At 39.8% G+C, this 22,174-nt stretch overlaps 1 protein-coding gene across 3 annotated transcripts in view, besides 1 other annotated feature; it reads right to left on the bottom strand.

The window, feature by feature from the left end:
- The window catches only part of PCDH19 (protocadherin 19), a 118,630-nt gene that overhangs the window by 46,379 nt on the left and 50,077 nt on the right, over positions 1 to 22,174 (bottom strand). For 2 of the 3 annotated variants that reach the window (NM_001105243.2, NM_001184880.2), the window contains 2 exons: positions 12,624 to 12,682; positions 3,881 to 4,053 (listed from right to left, as the gene is read on the bottom strand). In NM_001105243.2, the coding sequence (NP_001098713.1) occupies positions 3,881 to 4,053; positions 12,624 to 12,682 (232 nt within the window). The remainder of the gene's footprint in view (positions 1 to 3,880; positions 4,054 to 12,623; positions 12,683 to 22,174) is intronic. The other variant, NM_020766.3, reaches the window with a different exon arrangement.
- Positions 13,888 to 14,108: a silencer, noted in NCBI's record as "fragment chrX:99606908-99607128 (GRCh37/hg19 assembly coordinates)". NCBI's record gives its function as "represses an EF-1alpha promoter that drives an FKBP-Casp9 reporter gene in an ReSE screen in K562 erythroleukemia cells {active_cell/tissue: K562}" and the evidence as "EXISTENCE:reporter gene assay evidence [ECO:0000049][PMID:32094911]".

Genomic DNA, 22,174 nt, shown 5'->3' on the forward strand with positions numbered 1-22,174 from the left:
ACCTGACTTTTGCCCTTTGAGTTCAAAAGTCTTCTAGGCCAGGCGCGGTGGCTCACGCCTGTAATCCCAGCACTTTGGGAGGCCAAGGCAGGTGGATCACTTTAGGTCAGGAGTTCGAGACCAGCCTGCCCAACATGGTGAAACCCCGTCTCTACTAAAAATACAAAAAATTAGCGGGGCGTAGTGGCGGGCGCCTGTAGTCCCAGCTACTTGGGAGGCTGAGGCAGGAGAATGGCGTGAACCCGGGAGGCGGAGCTTGCAGTGAGCCGAGATCCCGCCACTGCACTCCAGCCTGGGCGACAGAGCGAGACTCCGTCTCAAAAAAAAAAAAAAAAAAAAAAATACAAAAATTAGCCAGGAGTGGTAGTGCGCATCTGTAGTCCCAGCTACTTGGGAAGCTAAGGCAGGAGAATCGCTTGAACCCAGGAGGCAGAAGTTGCAGTGAGTAGAGATCGCACCAGTGCACTCCAGCCTGGGTGACAGAGTGAGACTCTGTCTCAAAAAAAAAAAAAAAAAAAGAAGTCTTCTAGATATTCTCCTTCCTTTATTGAATATAACATTCTCCTTCCTTCATTAAATATAGTGATTCTGGGTTCCCACCTCTAGGAATGTTCTCAGAGAAGGGTTACTGAAAATTAAGGAATTTGGGCCCTTACTCAGAGTCACAAAGCACCCTTGTCATTCACACCGATCATTCTTCTGCTACAATAAAATCTTAAGGACAAATCCCATAGAAATTTTGGCAGTGTGGAAAAGCACAGGGCCCAGGTATCTCTTAAAAAGAGGAGCAAATATAGTTTATACCTTTACCCCAAACACAGGCAACACAATACCAGCTCCTTGAACAAACCATTCCTGCTCAAAGGAAAAACTAACAGATGCACAAAATTATCTTTATTTTGAAATTCTGAGATTCCCCTTCAATCATGTGTCCACATACGTGCAAGGAAATATGCAGTACTAATATCCAAATTAGAAAAGTCACAGAGAGAACTACAGACATGGAATACAAGGTGAGCCAAACTCCCCAAAACAAAGGTGTAAGGTACGCTCTTGTTGGATACATTTGGCCCAACTTTGGAGTGGTTCTGGCAGGACTAAAAGAAATACCAGGATCAGAGTTAGCCTGACAAATTCACTACATTCTTCATTCTGCTCCAGTGACACCTACCCAAACCTCAAGAACAGTTGCTCTGGAACTCCAAGAATTTCAGAACACTTGGGTTTAAGATTCCCATCACACTGTCAATGAACCAAGGGGATTGGGGACTAGTTTTTTTCTCCTCAAGGAATTCTTGAGATTTTCAGTACAGGTCTCAGTCCAGTGCAGATTCTATTTTCCCTTCTCACCTTTCTAAATTGGTAATCCTTTGAAGCAACAATACCATGTTACCCTGGGACAATCTAACTAAAATGGCTATAAGATCAGGCATGCATGGTGGATCACCCAGTGACTGCCTTTCAACCACTGTACCTTAAGATAAAATGTGATATACTTATTATGCAAATGCAGACTTGAGATATTAAAATGCTATGAAATGTTAATTGTTGGAATTGTTGCTCTTTTTTGAGGTTGCAGTATCAGTCCAAGTGAACTGGTGATGGAATCTGTGGCAAGCCTGAAGTTGCTATGGGACACACAAGTATTATTACAGAAAGCTTCAGAAGTAGTGGGATATCACAAGGGAGAGACTGAGGTATAAACAAGGCCCAAATTCTTTTTGTACCTAAACTTTAGGCAATCACACAAGTTGAAAAGAACTCACTCAAGGGTTGGCTCAAGGTTTAACCACTGCCGGAATAATAGAAAAAATGAAGATACACACATGCAAATCAAATAGTAAGAAACAAAATGTGAAAGTGTTGCCAAAATGGCCCAGCAGAAAGTGTGTATGTGTGTGTATGCATGTGTGTGTGTGTAAAATCATCATCTTATATGTAGGGGAATCTTGGAGTATTGCCACACATTTCCTTTAGAATATTCTCATTATTGATTATGCCAAGGACACAGATGTAAAGTGAGGTATACAAGGCAAACTGGGTTATGTGGTCACTCTACCTATATGGAGACTGGTGGTCTCTACCTTCAACCCAAATGACTAAGCTGAAATAAAATTTAGGTATGCATTCACAAAAAAGAATACTCGTCTTATTATCCAATCTACACAGTACACATATATAGATATATACACACACACATATATATGTAATACATCCAATTTGTAAGAAACACTCTCTCAGAAAAAACTAGCTGCAGTTCCCTGATACTGTTTTCCTAGAGAAATGTGACAAAAAAATAAAACAGATGTTGTTCTAGCCAGGCATAAAGTGAGAATCAATTATGACTATTTCCTTTCCTGGAGTCATTTCATTTTAGAGAGCATCTAACTAAAACCCTTTCTTGATATAAATGAAAAAGCATTTCTTTGAAACACACAACTAGTAAATGATATATATCAGTTTGCATCCTGTGACATACTGCTAATCCTCTGAGTATTAAATTGTCTCTGTTTCAGTTATATAACTGTTTAATTTTTTTCATCTTTAGTCATAGTAAGGTTTCCCAGAAAGTGTATTATCTCTGCAGATGTCACCACTCACCAATTAGGGAAGACAGCAGTGCACAATTCATAGTGACCTCTCTATATAATAGACTTTGACACTTGGGTCTGCTGGGGAGGGAATGGATTAAGACAATTTAATAGAATCTACAGTGACTAATTTTTTTCCATGAAAAACATTTTGTTTTGTGGATAGTACATTTTTTCCTTTGGACTTATTTCCAAAAACCAAAACAAAAGCATTTAATGATGTTTACAGTGAAATGAAACAGCTGAAGACCAGCACATAATCACCATATTTTGTTTTCTCATTTTTAAGTCTTTTAGCAGTAGGGCTTCCAGCTGAGCTTGAGTCTAGCTTTTCTCAAGACATAGCCAAGCATTCTGAAGCTTCACTGAGCCTAACCACCAAGTTGAATTCATATTTCTTAATTGAAAAAGACAGGCTGTTTGCATAGCATGTTTGCATCAGTAAAATATTGAAAATGACATTTGTGCCCAAGTCCATCTAAACATTCTGCCTTAGCTGAACTCTGCTAATGTTTTTATACCCTGGCTTCTGCCTAGCAAAGTTTTAAATAGTGCCTCTCGATAAAGCATGTGTGGCTGAGTTCCGAGTTCACAGAAATAGACTCTTCTTCATACATGAGGATGCCACTCCTGACATGTGCTTTGAGGTGCCTTTCACATTAACGGAATATTTTACATTGACTCAGCCACGTTCTCTTACCCTGGTCTCCCCTATGACTAATGGCATGGTTTTGTGTGGAAGCTAGAGGGAGGGATTTGGCATAGCAGCCCCATAGACAAAATGGGAAGTTTGGTATTTTCTATCCTCAGTAAATAGTACACAATCTGTAATGAGAGAACAGAGTCTCACTCTGGGTAAAGCTAACCAGTCTGATAGGGAAATAAAACCCACCCCTTTGGTCTCATTAGTGCTGTGTTCTATGCAATTCGATTGATCAGCTGAATTCATGTACTAAAGCAAAAATAGGCATTTATTCCTGGAGAGAAGGCATCTGTTCATCTCCTATGAGCTCAGTGCAGTTTTATTGAAGAAAATGTATGTAATATGCACATGTAGTCAGCTTCTAAAGTGCCTGAACTTTATACAGACCTAGGGGATCCACTTAGGGAGGGCAAAGAAGAATCTGGCTAGGTGTCAGGACATCTCAAAAACCTGTAGATGCTGCTGAGGTGTGAGCTCTGTAGACACCTTGATAATACACTCATTAAGCAAAGTAGTATAGTGTGCCTACAAACATTTTGGGTTCTTTGGAGTCGATTGCTGCAACTTACATCCAACCAGTCCTTACCATGATCAGGCATCTGAGATCCCATGGAGGTCACACTGGTGTTCAGCACATCGTTGACAGCAGTATCACAATACAGGCTCCGCTGGACATCATGCTCACTGTCAGTTTGGTCACTCTCCTCATGTCCACTATCCTTCAGGCTGTTGCCCTCTAAGTCCTTGAAGGTGGAGCTGCTGGGTTGAAGACAGAATGATAATTTACGACCGTGACAGATCTGATTTTAAAAATCTTTCTGAGCCAGGATGATGTCGGCTCTGTAATGAGGCAAACAGTGGCTAGACTGTCCAATAGGGTAGGAATAAGGGGAAGAGAAATTTGTGCTTAAAGATAATAAAACTTAACATTGCACAGAGGTTCCCACTATTGGATGCTGATACAGCTAATATTTTCGTTCACTTATCTTCAATGCATCACTACAGACAAGGTGGAAGAAGCTACAATTCTAAAACTGCCTCTAAAGAATGTCATCATTTCAGAAGACTTTTCTCTTCCTATAAAATCAAAGTAAAATAATAATAGCTAGTGTTTACTGAGCAATTACTATTCGTGAGGCACTGTTTTAAGTGTTTGACATTAATTAACTGTTGAAATCATCACAACTCTGTAAGAGAAAGGTGCTACTAATATTCTCATTTGCAGATGAAAAAAAACAGAGGTACATGGAAGTGAGATAACTCGCCCAAGGTCACACAGCTGGTAAAAAATATAGCAGACCTAAGACTGAAAACAGGTAGTCTAGCTCCAGAGCCTGCCTAGAAATTTAACCACTATGTACACTGATTCTTAAAAGATGTCTACTAACCAACTGTAAAAAGCAAAGGTAGCAGAAATTGAAGTAGTGCAACTAAAATAGGAAGGATTATCAGGATCAGAGAACCCAGTAAGTCAGTTTTATCTGAGAAAAATAGATGAACATATTCAAAGAAAAAGAGGAGAGTCAGTAGCTGAGCGTGGAAGGTGTGATGTTTAATTTTGTGAGTCAACTTGACTGCACCATGGAATGCCCAGATAGCTGGTTAAACATTATTTCTGGGTGTGTCTATGAAGGTGTTTCCAGAAGAAATTAGCATTTGAACTGGCAGACTCAGTAAAACAGACAATTCTCTCCAATGTGGGTGGGCATCATCCAATCCATTGAAGGACTGAATAAAACAAAAATTAAGAAAGAAGTTGAGTTTGTTCTCTGCCTTACTGCTTGAACTGGGACATTAATCATCTCCCGCCTTCAGCGCTCCTGGTTCTCAAGACTTCAAACCCAGACTTGAATCTACACTATTGGCTCTCTGGTTCTCAGGCCTTCAAACTACACTTCCATCTTCCCTGGTTCTCCACCTTGCAGATGGCAGATTATGAGATTCCTCAGCCCCCATAATCACATAAGCCCATACCTTACAATAAAACTCTTTCTACATATTTATAGATTTAGATATGCCTATTGGTTCTGTTTCTCTGCAGAACCCTGACTAATATAGAAGGCAAGACAAAAGTGAGAGCCAGAGAGTGAGCACTAATGCAACTCTGAGTATAGTTATACTAAGAACATGAAAACTTTCAGCTCAAGTGTTGATAGGTAAAATGATTCTTGCATTTATTAAATCAATCTACCATACAATGCACTATGCATGCAATCCAAGAACTTCACACCATTTCTCATGAAATGGAGAATAATGCATAAGGTACAGCTATAGGGCACCCACCTACTATTTCTAATACTTTGTATGTCCTGACAGAATCCCCAGCTTTGCTACACCATGAACCATAAATTATGCATCTGAAATACCTAGTAGATGGTGAATCCATTCCCTAGTCGGTGAGGAAGCAGCAAAGGCACACTCAAGAAAATGTGTTGTTGCCTCAACAAGGAAGAATGGCATGTTTGTGAATTAACACAAACCCTAATAGACCTATGCCTCTGAGAAAAGAGCCCTGTGGAAATGACACCGCAAACTCACTTGATCTGCTCAACCTTGGACATTCACAGGCCTGGCTCTCTGAGACTGATAAGAAGATTCAGCACATATAATGAAGAGCTATGCCATGGACACAATGGATACATTGTCACCCTCCACACTTAGTCAAGAAGAATCACAGCAGATTTTTAACATATGACCAACCTAGATGTAGAATGCTTGCTGACCTGAATATAAAAAGGAAAGACCAGGAGGCCAGTAACTGGAAAGCCATAATTATAAGAAAATGAAGAGCAGGAGAGAGTGAAGCATTGACCTGTTAGCTAATTATTTTCAGAAAGAATAACTGAGCATCAACTGCACTAAAATTAAAATTACTCAATAGGCCAGCTCACTCAGCTCCTTCAATTTATGTCACACAGCTAACTCAGCCTTATGGACCCACCAGGATGCCGTTCTTTAAAAAACAAACAAACAAGCAAATTATCTTACAGTTCTTTTATGGCCATGATGGCCAATTGGAAACACATGATTTAAAGTGTTTCACCATTTCTAGCTTTATGGCACATATTACGGAGTTTTCTGTAAATACTATTATAATCCCACAGTTTAAATAGATGTAAAGTTTGTTTTTTAGAAATTATTCTCTGTCACGTGAGGTGAGTGCCTGCCTACAAGCACCCCTGTACCTCTGGAGAAAGGAAATGACCTGCCTGGATGATATTCAGGTCCATTTTTATAACAAATACTTAACTTTCCAACCTGTATATTTTCTGGTATCTGAAAATGTCCTTAATCCACAACACAAAGTTGTCACTTTAAGCCAGAGAATTCAACTCTGAATTCAGCAGCTGTTGAAACTTGCTTGAAACATATGATGGTGAGGGATCTAGTATGGGGGCAATGTAATTAACCAGCCCTTGGAGCAGGGCTTCCCAACCTTGGCAATATTGACATTTGGGGCTACAAAATCCTTTGTTGTGGCCGTCCTGTGCATTATAAGGTGTTTAGCAACATCCCTGCCCTTTATCTACTGGATGCCAGTAGTGACCCCCACTTAAAGGAAAAAAACCAAAAGTGTCTCCAAAGAGACATTGCCAAATCACCCCACAGTTGAGAACAACTGCTCTAGGTTCTTTATTTCTATAGCAGACTGTAGTAAAGAGCACTGAACTTGGAGTCATTAGGACAAGTAATAATCTATAATCTGCCACTTCATCTGTGTGACCCTGGACCTGATATCTGATGTCTTTGAATCTCAGTTTCTTTATCTGTAAAATGTGTTTGCTAAAACCCCCTTCACAAGGCCATTTAGAAGACTCAAAGAGACTCTGTACATGAAGTACCAGATACACATAGATGCTCCATAAATGGTTATTGTTTAATACCATCATTATTCTGTGTAGTAATGTTTTCACTGAGTTACAATTAAATATTATGTCCATAGTTTTTATAGGATTGGTACAGAAAATTTATATTTAAAGAACACTTCTATATCTTCTGTAAACAATAGTCACACACTATTATGTGTGTGTGTGTTAATTTCTTCTAACATTAAAGAACAGAAAATAATAGTTCTCCTGTCAAATGGCCATCCTTCCTTTAATGAATAATTAAAACTATATCACTTGGTGTACTTACTGCTTTGTCTTCACTTCTCAAAAACTTCAACATAAATGTAATGTTTAATTGCAGTCAGTTACCTCCCTGGATGCCAGGGATGTCTACCTTACTTCTCCTAATTGGTTTTGGATCTGCCTTTTAAAAAATTGATCATCTTTTTCATAGGCATCTGAATGTTACAAACAACCTCAGAGATTTTGCTTTTTGAATAGAAATTATGGAAATAATAAAACAGTGAAGGATTAGCTACTAGGATGTAAGGGACTGGTAGTGTGAGCACGAGAAGTTGTGTATTCTCAGAACAAAAAGCAAGGTATAACAACTCCCCCAAACCTTGGAATAGTTAACTCATTTAAAGATTAGTTTGCCCATCTGACAAACTAAGCACCACTTACACTGATCTTGTAAGAGCATTTAGTGGTTTAATGAATGGATTTGTGTAAGGCAGTTTAAGACCCAGTGAGCAAGATGCCACATATTGTAAAATAGCCTGGTAAATGGCTACTCACCCAAAACAAATAACAATTTATGCCAGGCATAAAAATGCTGATTTCACTTGCTTTATTACCTGCATACCTCTTGGGAGATGAAGGACTTGTAAAACAACTTTTGTGGGACAATAAATTAGGGGTTCCTGTTTCCAATGGTATTGTAAATGCCCATGTTTCTATTACTGCTCTGGTGGCCAACAAAAAGACAGATATGTTTGAAAACACCTAGAACAGGGTTCTGCACAGAAGAGTTACTCAGCAGATGCATGACGAATGAACATCACACAAATTCTGACCCATATTTACCATCTGAAATATTAGAACTCTTTTCCAAAAGACATAAGACTCAGAATGGAAACAGGTTATATCTTACTAGTAGGTGATACTACATACCCAGGGAATGATATCTGAGGCTAAGAATGAGCAAGGAGTGAGAATGAAGATTATTATAACTGTATTTAAGTAATACAAGGAAAATCCTAGAGTGGTTTCTGGACCACCTGTATCACAATCACCTTGGGAACCTGTTACAACTGGAGGTTCTCTAGGGATGGAGCTAGCATACCTGCGTTTAACAAGCCTTCCAGGTGTTTCCAATGCACATTAAAATCCAGAAATCACTGGCTTAAAGAGAAATCTAGTGCTAGTCTTTAATAGAAAAATGCTAAGATTTTCTTCCATTTCTCTCATGCATTCATTCAATAAACATGTACCAAGCATTTATTATATACAAGGCACCATACGAAGTGCTGGAAAAACCCCAGGACAATTTGGGTGGAAAAAGAAAGCATTGTGCATGATTTAGGGAGCCAAAGCTCCTAATCCTTTCCACGCTGAGTCAGTGCTTTGTTCATTTCCTATTTCATTTTCTTTGGGCCACAGCCTTATGCCCTGCTTGATATTGTTCCCAAAGCACTGTAGGAGTGGATATCAGACAGCAGCCCACAAAACAGGCATGAGGAAAGAGTGCTGCAGCAGCGACAAAGTACCACTGCTGGCTTTCCTTGCTCTGAGAAGACAGCAAGAAACAAACAGAGCAGGAAGGAAGTCCATTCAGAAGAAACTCTGCACTGCCATGATTTGTTAATCTGGGGCCCTCACATAAGCCTCCTTGGGTACACCTGCGGGTTGCAAGTGACAGTCTGGAAAAAAAAAAAACTACAGAAATATAATGCTAGATTCCTTGGTGCATAAAATTATGGGGAGCCTGCCATATCACTTCCTTTTCCCACAGTTGAGATCCTTCTCAACCTTGATTTGTGCCTATGAGAACCCCCTTGCCCTCTGGCTTTCTGTTGGGTTTAGCCAAAGGAAGACATCAGCGGGAGATCAGAGCAGGGGAGGACAGTGATATCAGGATATTGATTGTCTCTGCTCCCTTCCTCCAGGGTCACTTCATGATGACTGGATCCCTTGGCCAACCAGAAGTCACTGTTACTCTCAAGTCAATGTTCCCTACATGCTCTCTTCCCTGGTCCTGTCTGAAGTATTTTTAGCTCCTCCAGTGCCATAATACTGCAGTATCCCTTGAGGTTCACTAACCGTGCCCAAGCCTTTGTAAATGGTCCTCTTTGTAAATAAACTTTCCTCAAGCCATTCCAATTTAGGCGTGCCAACTATTTCATGTAGGAACCCTGACTGATGAAGGAAAGAACCAGAGGTGGACAGTGGTAGCTGCTGTTCAACTACTCAAGGTAGATAGATGTAAAAGAGGAAAAGATGCCTGTATGTAAACAGTCTGGCTAAGAATGCTAACAACTGCTAGAGAATGCCGAAAAGAAGGGTCCAAGAAACATCCTTGGATAAGTAGAAAGTGAATAGAAGAAGAGAACATGGATAGAAAAATAAGTTCTCAGCCAGGCACGGTGGCTCACACCTGTAATCTCAGCACTTTGGGAGGCCAAGGTGGGTGGATCATTTGAGGTCAGGAGTTCAAGACCAGCCTGGCTAACATGGCGAAACCCCATCTCTACTAAAAATAAAAAAAAAATTAGCCAGGCACGGTGGCGCATGCCTGTAATCCCAGCTACTCAGGAGGCTAAGGCAGGAAAATCACTTGAACCCGGGAGGTGGAGGTTGCAGTGAGCCAAGATCACACCACTGCACTCCAGCCTAGGTGACAGAGCAAGATTCCGTCTCAAAAAAAAAAAAAAAAAAAAAGAAAGAAAGAAAGAAAAAGAAGTTCTCAAAGTTAGCCTGAAATTGTATTGTATTGGCATTCAAAGAAACAGGGACTTGATAGTAAAATTAAAACTGATAATCAGATTCAGAATTTCCTGGCCAAGAGCGTTTACCATGCATGTAAATGGATCTTCAAGAAACCACATACAGCAAAACCCTTTTCAAACACTGTTGTGAGCTATTTGAACAGGCTTCGCATGACTTTATCACCTGGTGTTAGCCACCACTCTCAACATTTTCCACACATTTTACATTTAACACAGTTGGTCCCCAGAACAGCATAGCACACAAGATTCCCTGTATTTTTCTAGGTATTATGCTTCATCTAAACTCAATTGACCACACAAATTCAAGGCCTTCAGAGTTTCCCAAAGCTCTCATGGCTCTGTAAACAGAACCCTGGCAAAAATGCATGTGTCCCTGAGTTTTCAGATGTTTCCTCTTCATCAAGGTGGTCCCTGGTTTTATTTAAAAAAAAGAAGAAAAAGCTATCTTTGATTTCATGCAAAATCAGGAGACTTTTTCACCAAGAGCCCATTAAGTCTAGGTTGTGCCTTTTGTGTGTATGTGTCTATAAACAAAAAACATATAAAGTAATTAACCAAAATCAGAGGTTCCCAGTAAGTCTCAACGCTGCTGTGGAAATACATGTATCCCCAAAGATAAATGTTCAAACATAAGTTTTTATCTATCAGTCTACCTTGTAAATTGGATAGTCAGGACTGATGTAAGATGCAAGGGTCCCTGGGAGTCTTAGCTTTCTTCCAGGCTGTGACAATCAGACTCATACTATCAGGTTTTTTTATTTTATTTATTTATTTTTCTTTTTGGTAGAGATGGTGGGGGGTGGGGGGGAGGGGTTGCACTATTTTGCCCAGGCTGGTCTCCAACTCCTGGCCTCAAGCAGTTCTCCACCATCAGCTTCCCAAAGCACCAGGATTACAGGCATGAGCCACTGCGCCCAGCATCATGTTATCTGTTTAACCTGGCTATAGAATTCCCAGGTACCCTGAGTTAGCCCGAGGGACCTGTGAGGGTAAGGCAAGTCACTGTTTTTATCAAAGTTTTAAAATGGAGCTTTGAAAATAACAATTCGGAAGCAGAAACAAAGCAGATTTCTGCTACAAAGGCACTCTAATCAGTGCACATAAGAGGGTTATTTTTTTCTTTCTAAAACAAATTCGTCAGATAATTTTGAATTCCTCACCTCTTGCTTTTATTCTGTGACCCAGGAAAATATTCTAAATGGATTCCTCCCAACCCCTCAAAAAAAATTCTCAACTGTGCTTTCACTGATAATACAAGGGCTACCCATTTTCAGACAACTAATGATCATCACTTAAGGTCACAAGCAATTCCAGACCAATACAGATAAACTTAGCATGTTTTAGGGGTTACTGAAGCCTCATGAATTAAATCAGACATGAATGCAAGTTACTTGAAGCTTGTTTATTCCTTGAATTCTACTCTTCTGGTGATGTAAATTTATGGGATTAGAGCCAGCAAAATAATACAATTTGCAAGCCTTCTCTGCTACAGCTCTAACATACCCTGCTGGCCTCTCTGTTTCATTTCTATTATTTTAACAAACATACTCAGAGTTCAATTTTAGCTGCAGAATAACCACTGGACCATTTAAGTGATATTTACATGAAACAGCAATACAGGCATCATTTGAAAGGTTAGGACTGGTCTTTCTGTGCAAGAGGTTCTCTTCTTTGCTCAGTTTCCACCTTTTAGAGGGCTTCCCAAACCCCTTGTCCTTCTCCCATTGGGTGCAGCCCACTGCACCAGATGGGATCTTTCTTGGCAGGATTCAGCTCTGTACTCACATCCATTATGGCTCCTTGGATACTAAATTATGATCAACCAATCACATAAATCTCAACTTTGAATGTTTCCTCTGAAACACTTCTAAAAATTTTAAGAAGAATCAGGCAAATTTCTTTTTCTCTCTCATCTAGAAAGGAAAGGATTGGCTTCTCTGTCATTAAAATATCTTTAAAATGATTTCAAAGTTGTTGAAATAGCATCAATCTCAAAACTCATGGGAAGTTCTACATGAAAAACATTTTTAAGGCTTTCCTTTATTTAAAGTGAAGAGCAACAAGAATTTTGGTATCAACATGATTGTGAAAGTTTTCTATTGTATATTTCTAATATCACATTAGAAATATTAGAAATAATATTAGAAATTAGAAATATTAGAAATAGTGAATATTTGTAATATCAGATTTCTGTCACTAGATAAAACTATATTTTAATATAATTCCAATTTTATTGTTGAGTGTTTATACGTACATTTTCATACCAAGAAATGTAAAATGTCAACAGTGATTACCTTTGGTTGATGAAATTACCAGTGATGTTTATTTACTTTTTTATGCTTTTCTCAATTTTCCAAACTTTCTACAAATAGTAGGTTGGACATTCATTTTAAAATCCCCCAAAAAAATACGTTTTAAAAATTTTAATCTGTTTTGCTTTTTAATGTTAAATCAAGCTTAGTTGCAGCAATAAGCAAGCAAACCAACATACCTCTTGATTAAATGGGCTCGGCTATTCACGTAGTTGGAGTCAAAAGAATAGTTTTCAGTCTGCAATGAGAAGAAAAAATTAAAAAGGTTACACAGATGATTCATAAGTAGATTTCGAACTGCCCTACTTAGAAGGAATTTTTCTTCTGGGTCAAGAAGCAGTGAGTGAATTGGAACCCAAGGCCACAGTGCAGCAGCAGCCTCTGCCTCCTTCAGGCCCTAGGGGCTCCGTGGAGGCAGCAGCTCCCCGCTGCAGACCAGGGCGGCCTTGGCACAAACATTCCCTAGAATATGACTGGCTACTGACCATGCAACCACTTACTGAGAAGAGACAACGTGACCTACAATCCTTACAGAAACTAATTACTTCCCATTCCCCAGTGGAGACAATTCTATGGCCCATCAAATTGACTGGAAGTTCAAAGGTATTTTTATTAGTAGTAGATAATTAACATGTTAAAATATTTATTCCAAAGATATGGAAATGCAGGCAAGGTAATACACCACTGTGGATTTAAACTCTGCACTTCCCTTTGTTTCAAGACATTTGCTCAGCACTGGTTATGCAGGAAGGCCTTTGTTTTATCACAGATACAAAAGCAAACAAATACTATGCCTAAAACAGGGTGAAGGGCAGTCCACAGGGGGTGCCAAAGCCTTTCATGTGAAACATGAAGTTTGCAAGCAAACCCCTGTCTCAGCTCCTATCATTAGAGCACCCCTGTTTAATCTGGTTACAGCAGACTGCTGGAGCAATGGCTTTATAAAAGCAAATGCAGAATACCTGCCAGATGAAAGAGATGGAAAAACAGCTAATGATCACCCAGAGGTTGGGAGAACTAGAGGGGAAAAGCCTTAGAAGGGTGAAATCCAGAGAAAAGTCGACACTAAAGTAACTGAATGTCCTAGTAAAGTGGATCTCGCCCCCAGCACTAAAGTACCACTCTTCTTGAACCATTGTATGATCTAGAAACTACCCAAACACATCTCCCCCACCCTCTTGCCATCCCACTAGAAATCTCCACTGTTCCCACCATTCCTTAGGAGCCTTCTGAAATTACTTCAACTGGGAGTGTTTGGAAAAGGAAACACAATTTCTGTCTAGCAAACAAAAGAGCAGATTCCTCTCAGACCTCTACCTGTCAGATACTAACTGTACTAGGCTCCTAGATGCAGCCCTTGCTTCCAAGGAGCTCACAGTTTGATGGAGAAGAAAACAGAACAGGCAATAGCAGATCCAGCTACCACATGGGCACCAAACAGCCAGCAGTCAGAATACAGACCCCAAGTGCCTACAATAGGTAGGAAGGGGGACGGTGAATGTGTGAGAGAGAGGAGGAGACAGTACTTAAAAGGAAACTAAACCCCAACATTGCCCTGCACTTACTCAGGTATGTTCATGTGCCCACCCATGCCCCTCATTTGAAGATGCACTGTGTAATATCTACTCACACTGCTTTTATCTAGAAGTTTATATCTCCTTTTTAATGTAAACTCAAGCAATTTTTAATGCTATTGGAAGCATGGGTTGGGGGATTAAAAATCAAAAGGGTCAGTTCATTTCTGGTTTCTTCATAGAGAGTGAATGCTGAAATTGTCACAAACAGGAATAGGAGGCAAACTTGGAAGCTGTGTTAGGAATACAATCCAAGTATTTGCTGGAAGAAGTTTATCCAACAGTCAGTCAACCAACAAACACTCTTTGAGTTAATTCGTTGTACCAACATAACAGGTAAAAATGATGTTGGTTAAATGTGTTCATCTACGATATTCAGTACAATATATAATTTAACAAGTGGGAAGTTCACTACCCCACAAAAATTATGCTACCCTGTTGATGTGGTTTGGACCTGTGTCCCCACCCAAATCTCATGTTGAATTATAATCCCCAATGTTGGAGGTAGGGCTTGGTGGGAAGTGATTTGATCATGGTGGCGGTTTCTCATGAATGGTTTAGCACCATCCCTCTTGGTACTGTTCTCTCGATAGTGAATGAGTTCTTATCACATCTGGTTATTTAAAAGTGTGTAGTCCTTCCTCCCCATCTCTCTCTCTCTTGCTGCTCCGGCCATGTGATGTGCCTACTCCCCCTTAACCTTCCACCATGATTGTAAGTTTCCTTAGGCCTCCCCAGAAGCTAAGCAGATGTCAGCATCATGCCTCCTGTGCAGTCTGCAGGACCACGGGCCAATTAAACCACTTTTCTTTATGAAATTACCCAGTCTTAGGTATTTCTTTAGGGCAATGTAAGAATGGACTAATACATCTGTTAAAACCCGGAATTGATTAAGCACTCAGCAGTTCAAATATTCATTTCACTCTGCGATCTTGGGCAAATTACTTAATCCTTGCATGCCTCAGTTTCCCTCTCTGTAAAATAGGGATAATAGAACATGAATCCAAAGGAGAATTTCAGCTGCATTTATCAGACCCATGACAGGAATGGTGGGAATCCTGATCCCCTGCTTTATACAGAACCTGCAACTAACTCCAAGTAGGATCAGGAATTTGACCTCATTCAGGCAATAAAATAGTGGCACATGCATGTTCCATCTCATCTTTCAAACTAAATCATTTTTTCAAGAAGATTGGTAAAGAGACAAAAATACAAAAAGGAAATCTAGAGGATACTGGCTTTGCAGGAAAAGGATAAGCAGCAACCCAAGCTACTGTATTTAAAGAATCTGTCTTTACTGCCTTTAAAGAAGACAGTTCTCAAGTAGAAAATTTTCCATATCTTTGCAAATGAAGGCATGGAACCTGTGTGCACTCTGCATCAAATATGAAGCTCCGCGGAGACCTGACCTCCAGGCATGGTGCCAGAGCCACGTGTTCAGGCAAAGAAGCAATACCATGCACATTGTATCACTAATGAAAATACTACTTCTTGGTCCTAAGCCATAATATATCTCATCATGAGGATTCCCACTCCCAGGCACTGAGTTGAGAAGAGACAAGTCTCGAGGGCTTGTTAGTAATTACCTTAACAATTCTTCCCCCAAATACAGGTCAGTTAACCCCAGGCAGATGTGCCAGGCATGATCTGCTACTGTAAAGAGAAGAATATCATAGAAGCTTGTAACCTTCCTATCTTTTATCCTCCTTTTTTAACTCCAAAAGGAATAAACCACCCATTCTTGTGGGTCCTGACCTTCAAATGAAAATATATCATTCCCCCAAATCAGCACAAACCATCATGGGCAGATGTCTCATGCTGCATCCTAATGCAATTAGTAGCGCTAGTCAATGTGGCAGGTTCCTAGAACCGATTTTCCCAGAATGGATGGGGCTATGCTGATTCACCCATTGTCCTGTGCCTTTGTAATCCGTCTCAGGTCTCTTTGTGAGGCAGTTGGGTTACAGTTATGGGAAAAATCTATGCAGCAGAATTATTCTAATTGGATAGAATACACTATTCTGGCCTCATTAGTACTACATTCCAAACAACTGAGTTAACTGGCCATAGATGGGCTATTATATTATGGGTCTATGTATACTGACATCAAGTGTTCTAGCTCATACTGGTTCAAGGTGTATGCCCAAACCCAACTCCTGTGCACTGAGAGAGTATATTTTTTCACACTTCTGGTGGAGCAAAGGATGAGACTCAGATCATCAGATCATCCTGAAGAAGGAAATATTTTCTTAATGAATAGTTTGTATGTCTTAAGCCAGTGGTTCTCAGCCCTAACTACACATGAGAATCATCTCAGAATCTTCTTCTTGTAAAACATAAAAATAAAAATACTGTCACCAAGGACCCACTCCAAGAGATTCTGAGGTAATTAGCCTGGAATTGGACCCAGGCACTGGGTGATTTTTTTAAAAAGCTTTCCAGGAAATTTTAGTGTACCTCCGGGGTGGCAAGTAACTGTCTTGAGCAAAGGACTGGCCACAGGCTCTGACCTAATGTGCTGCATTTTCTAAAGCAAGCCCAGCTGTTTAGAAGATGTCATTTCTTTTGTCAGATTACCTGCCAAGGTCATCTCAATATGGGATAAAGAACCACAGAAGAAATACATTCTTTAAAATAATACAAGAGCTTTTTTTTTTGCATGAATGTATTGGCTCCTAGTTAGCCTTATTTAATCAAAATTTGCTTGACATTATTCCAATACCTTCTCTAAGTATGCTAAATGGCAAACAACATGAAACATTTGAGAGAGGAAATTTTCTCTAAATGTCACATTAATTTCACTAGGAAATGTCCCCATTTCTAATCAGACAGCCAGGTTAACACAAGAACACAGCAAAGAGATAAGAACAACATTTGCTTTGGAAAAACCTAATTGTCACATTAAAAAAAAATGGGTCTAGAGCAAACTTTTTTATTTCATCTCAGTGGTAAATAAGAGTCACTTTCTTATTATTTAGTATATTTATCACAAATTCTTTTTCTAATTCGAATTCTTTATCCTTGGGTATAACACTGAAAGCAGGTGTCTCACATGACCTAGGTTTAATAAAATGTTGATTTTTAAAAATTCTCAAACAATAAATAATTCTAGACAGCTCAGTTTTCCAGATAGCTTAGGGTGTTATCCTTTAAGAACCAAAACTTTGATTTAAAATCCTAACCATCTGCCTTGTTTCTGAAACATATCACAAAGTTGCCCTCCTTAAAATAGGGTATAAAAAACATAATTTAACCACTTATTGGTTACTTAGGAGCATCTTTATAAATGTAAATTATTACCCCATGCAGATTTTGCCTGTATACTCAAGGACCCCAAACTGCTGTGGTTTTTTTCTTGTCTTTAATTTTTAACATAGGATCGTCACCAACCTTCTATCAAACACAGCGTTTTTAACTTTTCAGTGCTGTTGGTATATCAAAAGTAGCTTTTCTTCCATTTCAAGTTTGATGCTTTTACTCTACTGTGTTCTTGGAAACTATACAATTATATTTGTGTCTAGAAAAAAAAGAGTTGTAACGTTCTGCATAGACAGCTGAGATGTTGCGCTCCTAAGGGGGAAATCACATGATCTTTAATATAGGGACCTTTGTGCAATGTTTTGATTTTCGTTGTTTGTTTCTGTGTTTGTTTGTTAGCTGCTTGGGAGCTTTCTTTGCTTACTACTTGCTGTTCTCAGGTCCCTTCTGGATATAGGAGGATTCTAGTAAGACGTTTGGGTGGGGGATATGTTATTACATTTCTACGTTAGTAAGTCTGGCATATCAGAAGTCAAATACTTCCACTTTGTCAGGCCCCCAAGGTACCAGAGAATGCCCTACTTTAATTGTCATTTTGCATTACTTTTACAGTTCACTGAATCGTGCCCTAGTCTCTAGAAGAGTGACTGCAGCTCTCTCAGCACCACATTTATCAGCAGAGAGACTTCAAACCTAAGGAGAAGGAAGCCCAATAAATGCAGATATCCAGGACTAGACTCTTTGTCCAGTGGCACAAATCCCAGGTCACTATACCAAGCAAAAAAAAAAAAGGTTGCAGACATTGGGATTAAAACTGAGGTTACTCAAATCTTTAGATTTTCATTTGAAAATGAACGAACTTTTAAGTTACACTTTTAAAGTCCCATCGAGCTGAAAAGCATTATAACTATAATTTGCTACCTAATTTTTTAAAGTTTTTAACTCTTAAGTCATTTTAGCAATCAAAACAGGAAAACTGGAATCCCGTATCAGATACACAACAAAGTGATTATAAAACGCTGCTTCTTTTTTTAACTGCTGACTTCCAATAATGATAATTGTGCCTATTGATCCATAATGAAAAGACACATAACCTTTCCTAAAGCTGGTTGCTGTTTTAGATGTTCAAATGGTCATCTCCTCACAAAGATGGCTTTTGGAAATGAGATAATAAATAGTTTTTGCCTACTTCCTACCCCCAACACATAAAAATGAATATGCAAATTCTGTATAAAAATAAAGCTGACGTGCCTCCAGCTAGAATGTATATTCAAAGACTCATCCATCCAGACAGCAGCAACTGAAGCAGGAATTAGTGAAGGTGGAATAAAAGGCACCATCCCCAGCTGCCAACATTACAAAGTTCATATTTGCCCTGAACTAGAAAACGTGCTAGGTAAACTCCTACTAACCACTTATTGTCAGTTGTATGCTCCCCACACACCCCAGCCCTAATTCATTCTCTCTCTCTCTCTCACACACACACACTCACACGCACACACACAAACACACACAGTTTGACTACAGAAAGCAATGTGGTATAGTGGGGACAGCTGGATTCTCTCCCTAGGATTGTCATTAACTTACAGATGACCTTGGATGAATCACATTAACCCTCTTGAGGCCTTAATTTATCTTTCTTTAAAATGAGGAGAATAACCAAAAGGACTCCATGTTGCCTTCAAGCTCCACAATTCTAGGCTTCTAAAACAAAGTGATTCTTAATTTATTCATTTATCTATCCAGTAAGCATGAACCAAACCCTGGGAATTAAAAAAAAATAGCCTGCACCTTCAAGGAGCTCACAAACTAATGGATCTTTTACCAGAGATGATCAAAATGTCAGACATTCAGGTAAATACACATACACAGACTGGCACCTATGTACCTGCAGATACAGGCATATACTTGTACGCAGGCTACTGGACTGCAACTTGGAGAATTACACTGCTACTTTGTAGAACTAAATAACACCCTAATGGCTCAATGGCTGTAGGTGACTCACATGGGAGAATTTGGCCCTCATATGTGTCATATGTACATAACCCCCATCATAAAAGGCAAGAAATCTCCCTATCCTATCAAATAGGTTATACAATTCATAACGTTCTTAGAAATAGCCCATATTATCTGTCCTTTTGGCTCCATTTCCACAGCCTTCATCACCTTGTGTCATTTTTTTCTCACCTGCATTTGTTCTACCTCATTCTGCAAAATGCTGTTTGGAAAATCTTCCTCACCCACTATTTTCATCACATCACTTCTCTTTTCAAGACCTTACAGTAGCTCCTTGTTGCAATTAACATTAAATCTACATGAAGTCCTTAGCTAAGCAGTCATCCAACACAAGCCATCTAATTTCCCTCATTTCTAATATATCTCCATCACTGATCATCCCACGTTCCTTAGCATTTTCTCAGCACTTTGTATACAGACTGTACAATGTAATTATGCATTTCCTCAGGTTCTATGATTATTTCATGTGTAGTGTGTCAGTTCATCCCTCAACGGGACTGGAAGCTCTCTTTTGAGGTCCCTGTGCCATCTGCCACAACGCTAAACATTTAGCATGCGTTCATATAATGCATCAATGAATGATCAGAGAAGAGATGGAAGGGATTAAGAATGAGGCTACTTATCACAATTAAGGCAGGTGACGAAGTTTATTAGGCCAAGGTGGTTCTACTTCTTCAGAAAGCATCCACTCTGCACACTGCCTTCTGTAGTTACAATTTGTTCACTGTTATCACTCCCAACTACTACCTTATAAATACACAATAGCCTATATATAACTGAAAGGGATAAGATGACACAGTTAGGTGCCTTCTGCCCATCTAACTCCATCAGTCCTGCCACATCTCTGGGAATGGTGGTGACAACATATGATAGTGTTCCTGAACCCAATTTGATAGCGTTTCTGTGAGAAGACGAGGGTTCACCAGAATGTAGACCTCTGAGTCACAGACGGACAGTGTGGCAGCTACTTTTCTACAGGTGGTAAACAACTCTAGCATCCCAGTGACTGTCAGGACAGGACTATCAATGAGAAACACAGGCCATGTGGTTAACATTCAACAAATTAAATTGAAAGAATTCCCCTCCTAGCAGCCTCTCATCGTCATTCCTATTGTTTCACTGGCACCATTGATGTGGTCACCCTACCTAGAGGTGGCAAAGATGGCTTAGGGAAAGCACTTTTCTTTGCTCTCATCTTTGGGTCAAAGTTATGCCTTTAGAAGAGCAACCCAGTTGTGAATTTCACTACAGAGGCCTCCTTGAGAAACCTAGCAGCTGTCTGCAGTAAACCATACAATTCAAAGCCTGCTGAAAGACGAGCTTAAACACCATGCCATAAAACAAATACAGGCTTCTGAATAAGGCCCTCGACCCTTTTCTAAGTCCTTTGTGGGGCATAGTGCACTCTGAAATAGTATCTGCTTATAGAAAGCTCTCTGGAACCAGTTAATGCCTATTATATGTACAAATGCAGAATCAACAATATCTCAGTATGAGTAAGAGTACCTCAAGAGCAAATAAAATGAAAAATTCAGTCATGTAAGTCAAACTATTTAATCCCATGTAAACAGAACTTAATGGAGAACCAAATAGCTCTCAACCACATTTGCCAGTGGAACAAATTCTGGAGTCCAATCGCCCTACCAAACATGTAACTACAACACATTAAAGCTATTTTGCAGGCACAGAGTGCCTTTCATCCCCAAATATCAAAGCACTTTACAAGCAAGTGCCAACTGTTATTTCCCCTTTAAAGAGCCATGAAAACAAACACACACGTTAAGTGCTACAGCCACATTAAGTACTAACTCAGCTAGAGCATGCCGCAACAAGGACAATAAGAGAAACCCCAGGAGCACCGTTTTTGGCATTTTCTGCTACTGGGATAGGAAGCAATCAGAAAACAGTAACATCAGGGAAGTGATTAGCCTGCTTCCTACCTATGTTTCTCTGAGTGATTTCCTTGGCTAATTCCAATGAAAGAGTCAGGGGACTATAGTCCAGCAGTTAGACAAAGGAAAAACTTGGCACACACTAACTGGAAATCATTCTCCAGACCTAGCTGGAGGGCCTACTCACAGAGCCCAAGGGATCCAGAAATGAGCCACTTTGTTCCCTGAAACCTTGGTGACCATTTTGGTTGCCCTTTAGAGGCAATGGCAACCATTGTTAGAAGGTGACCTAAGATGTAAGATTAATAGTCATGATGGTGGTTTCAATTTTAGAAGCTATGATTTGGTAAAGCTGGTCAAACTGACAATAAGAAACCCATATAAGATCTCCCACAAGAGGGTTGGGCATTGTGGCTCATGCCTGTAACCCCAATGACTTGGAAGACTGAGGTGGGAGGATCGCTTAAGGCCAGGAGTTCAAGACCAGCCTGGGCAACATAGCGAGAGCCCATCTCTAATAAAGAAATAAATATACACATATATACATATACATAATATATATACATATATGTACACACATATAAGAGTGTGTGTGTGTGTGTGTATGTGTGTGTGTGTGTGTCTGTGTAATCTCCCACAAGCAATGGGATCCAGAAACCCACAGTATGAGCTCTCCTGGATCCAGCCTACCTTTGAGCCCTTCTGGCTCACAGAAGGACTAGCACCCTCAGAACCTGAGCTGGTCCATTCCTTTCTGCTAAATTCTATTATATCAGTGCCTCAGTTCTCTGCCACTTACCAGCTACAGAGCCCTGACTGCCTGCGGAGTGTGCAGAGTACAATTTCTATTGAGTAAGCTTTGTCAGCTGAAAAGACTTTCAAAATATTTAGAGAGAAAGCGGTGGGTGGCCTTGTGCCTTTGGGCCAAAACAACACCCCCAAATTCTGTTCCAACCCCAATCCCATTATTTATATTATGTGCCACTAAAA

This window comes from Homo sapiens, chromosome X, assembly GCF_000001405.40.
Source record: "Homo sapiens chromosome X, GRCh38.p14 Primary Assembly".
NCBI classification, from domain to species: Eukaryota; Metazoa; Chordata; class Mammalia; order Primates; family Hominidae; genus Homo; species Homo sapiens.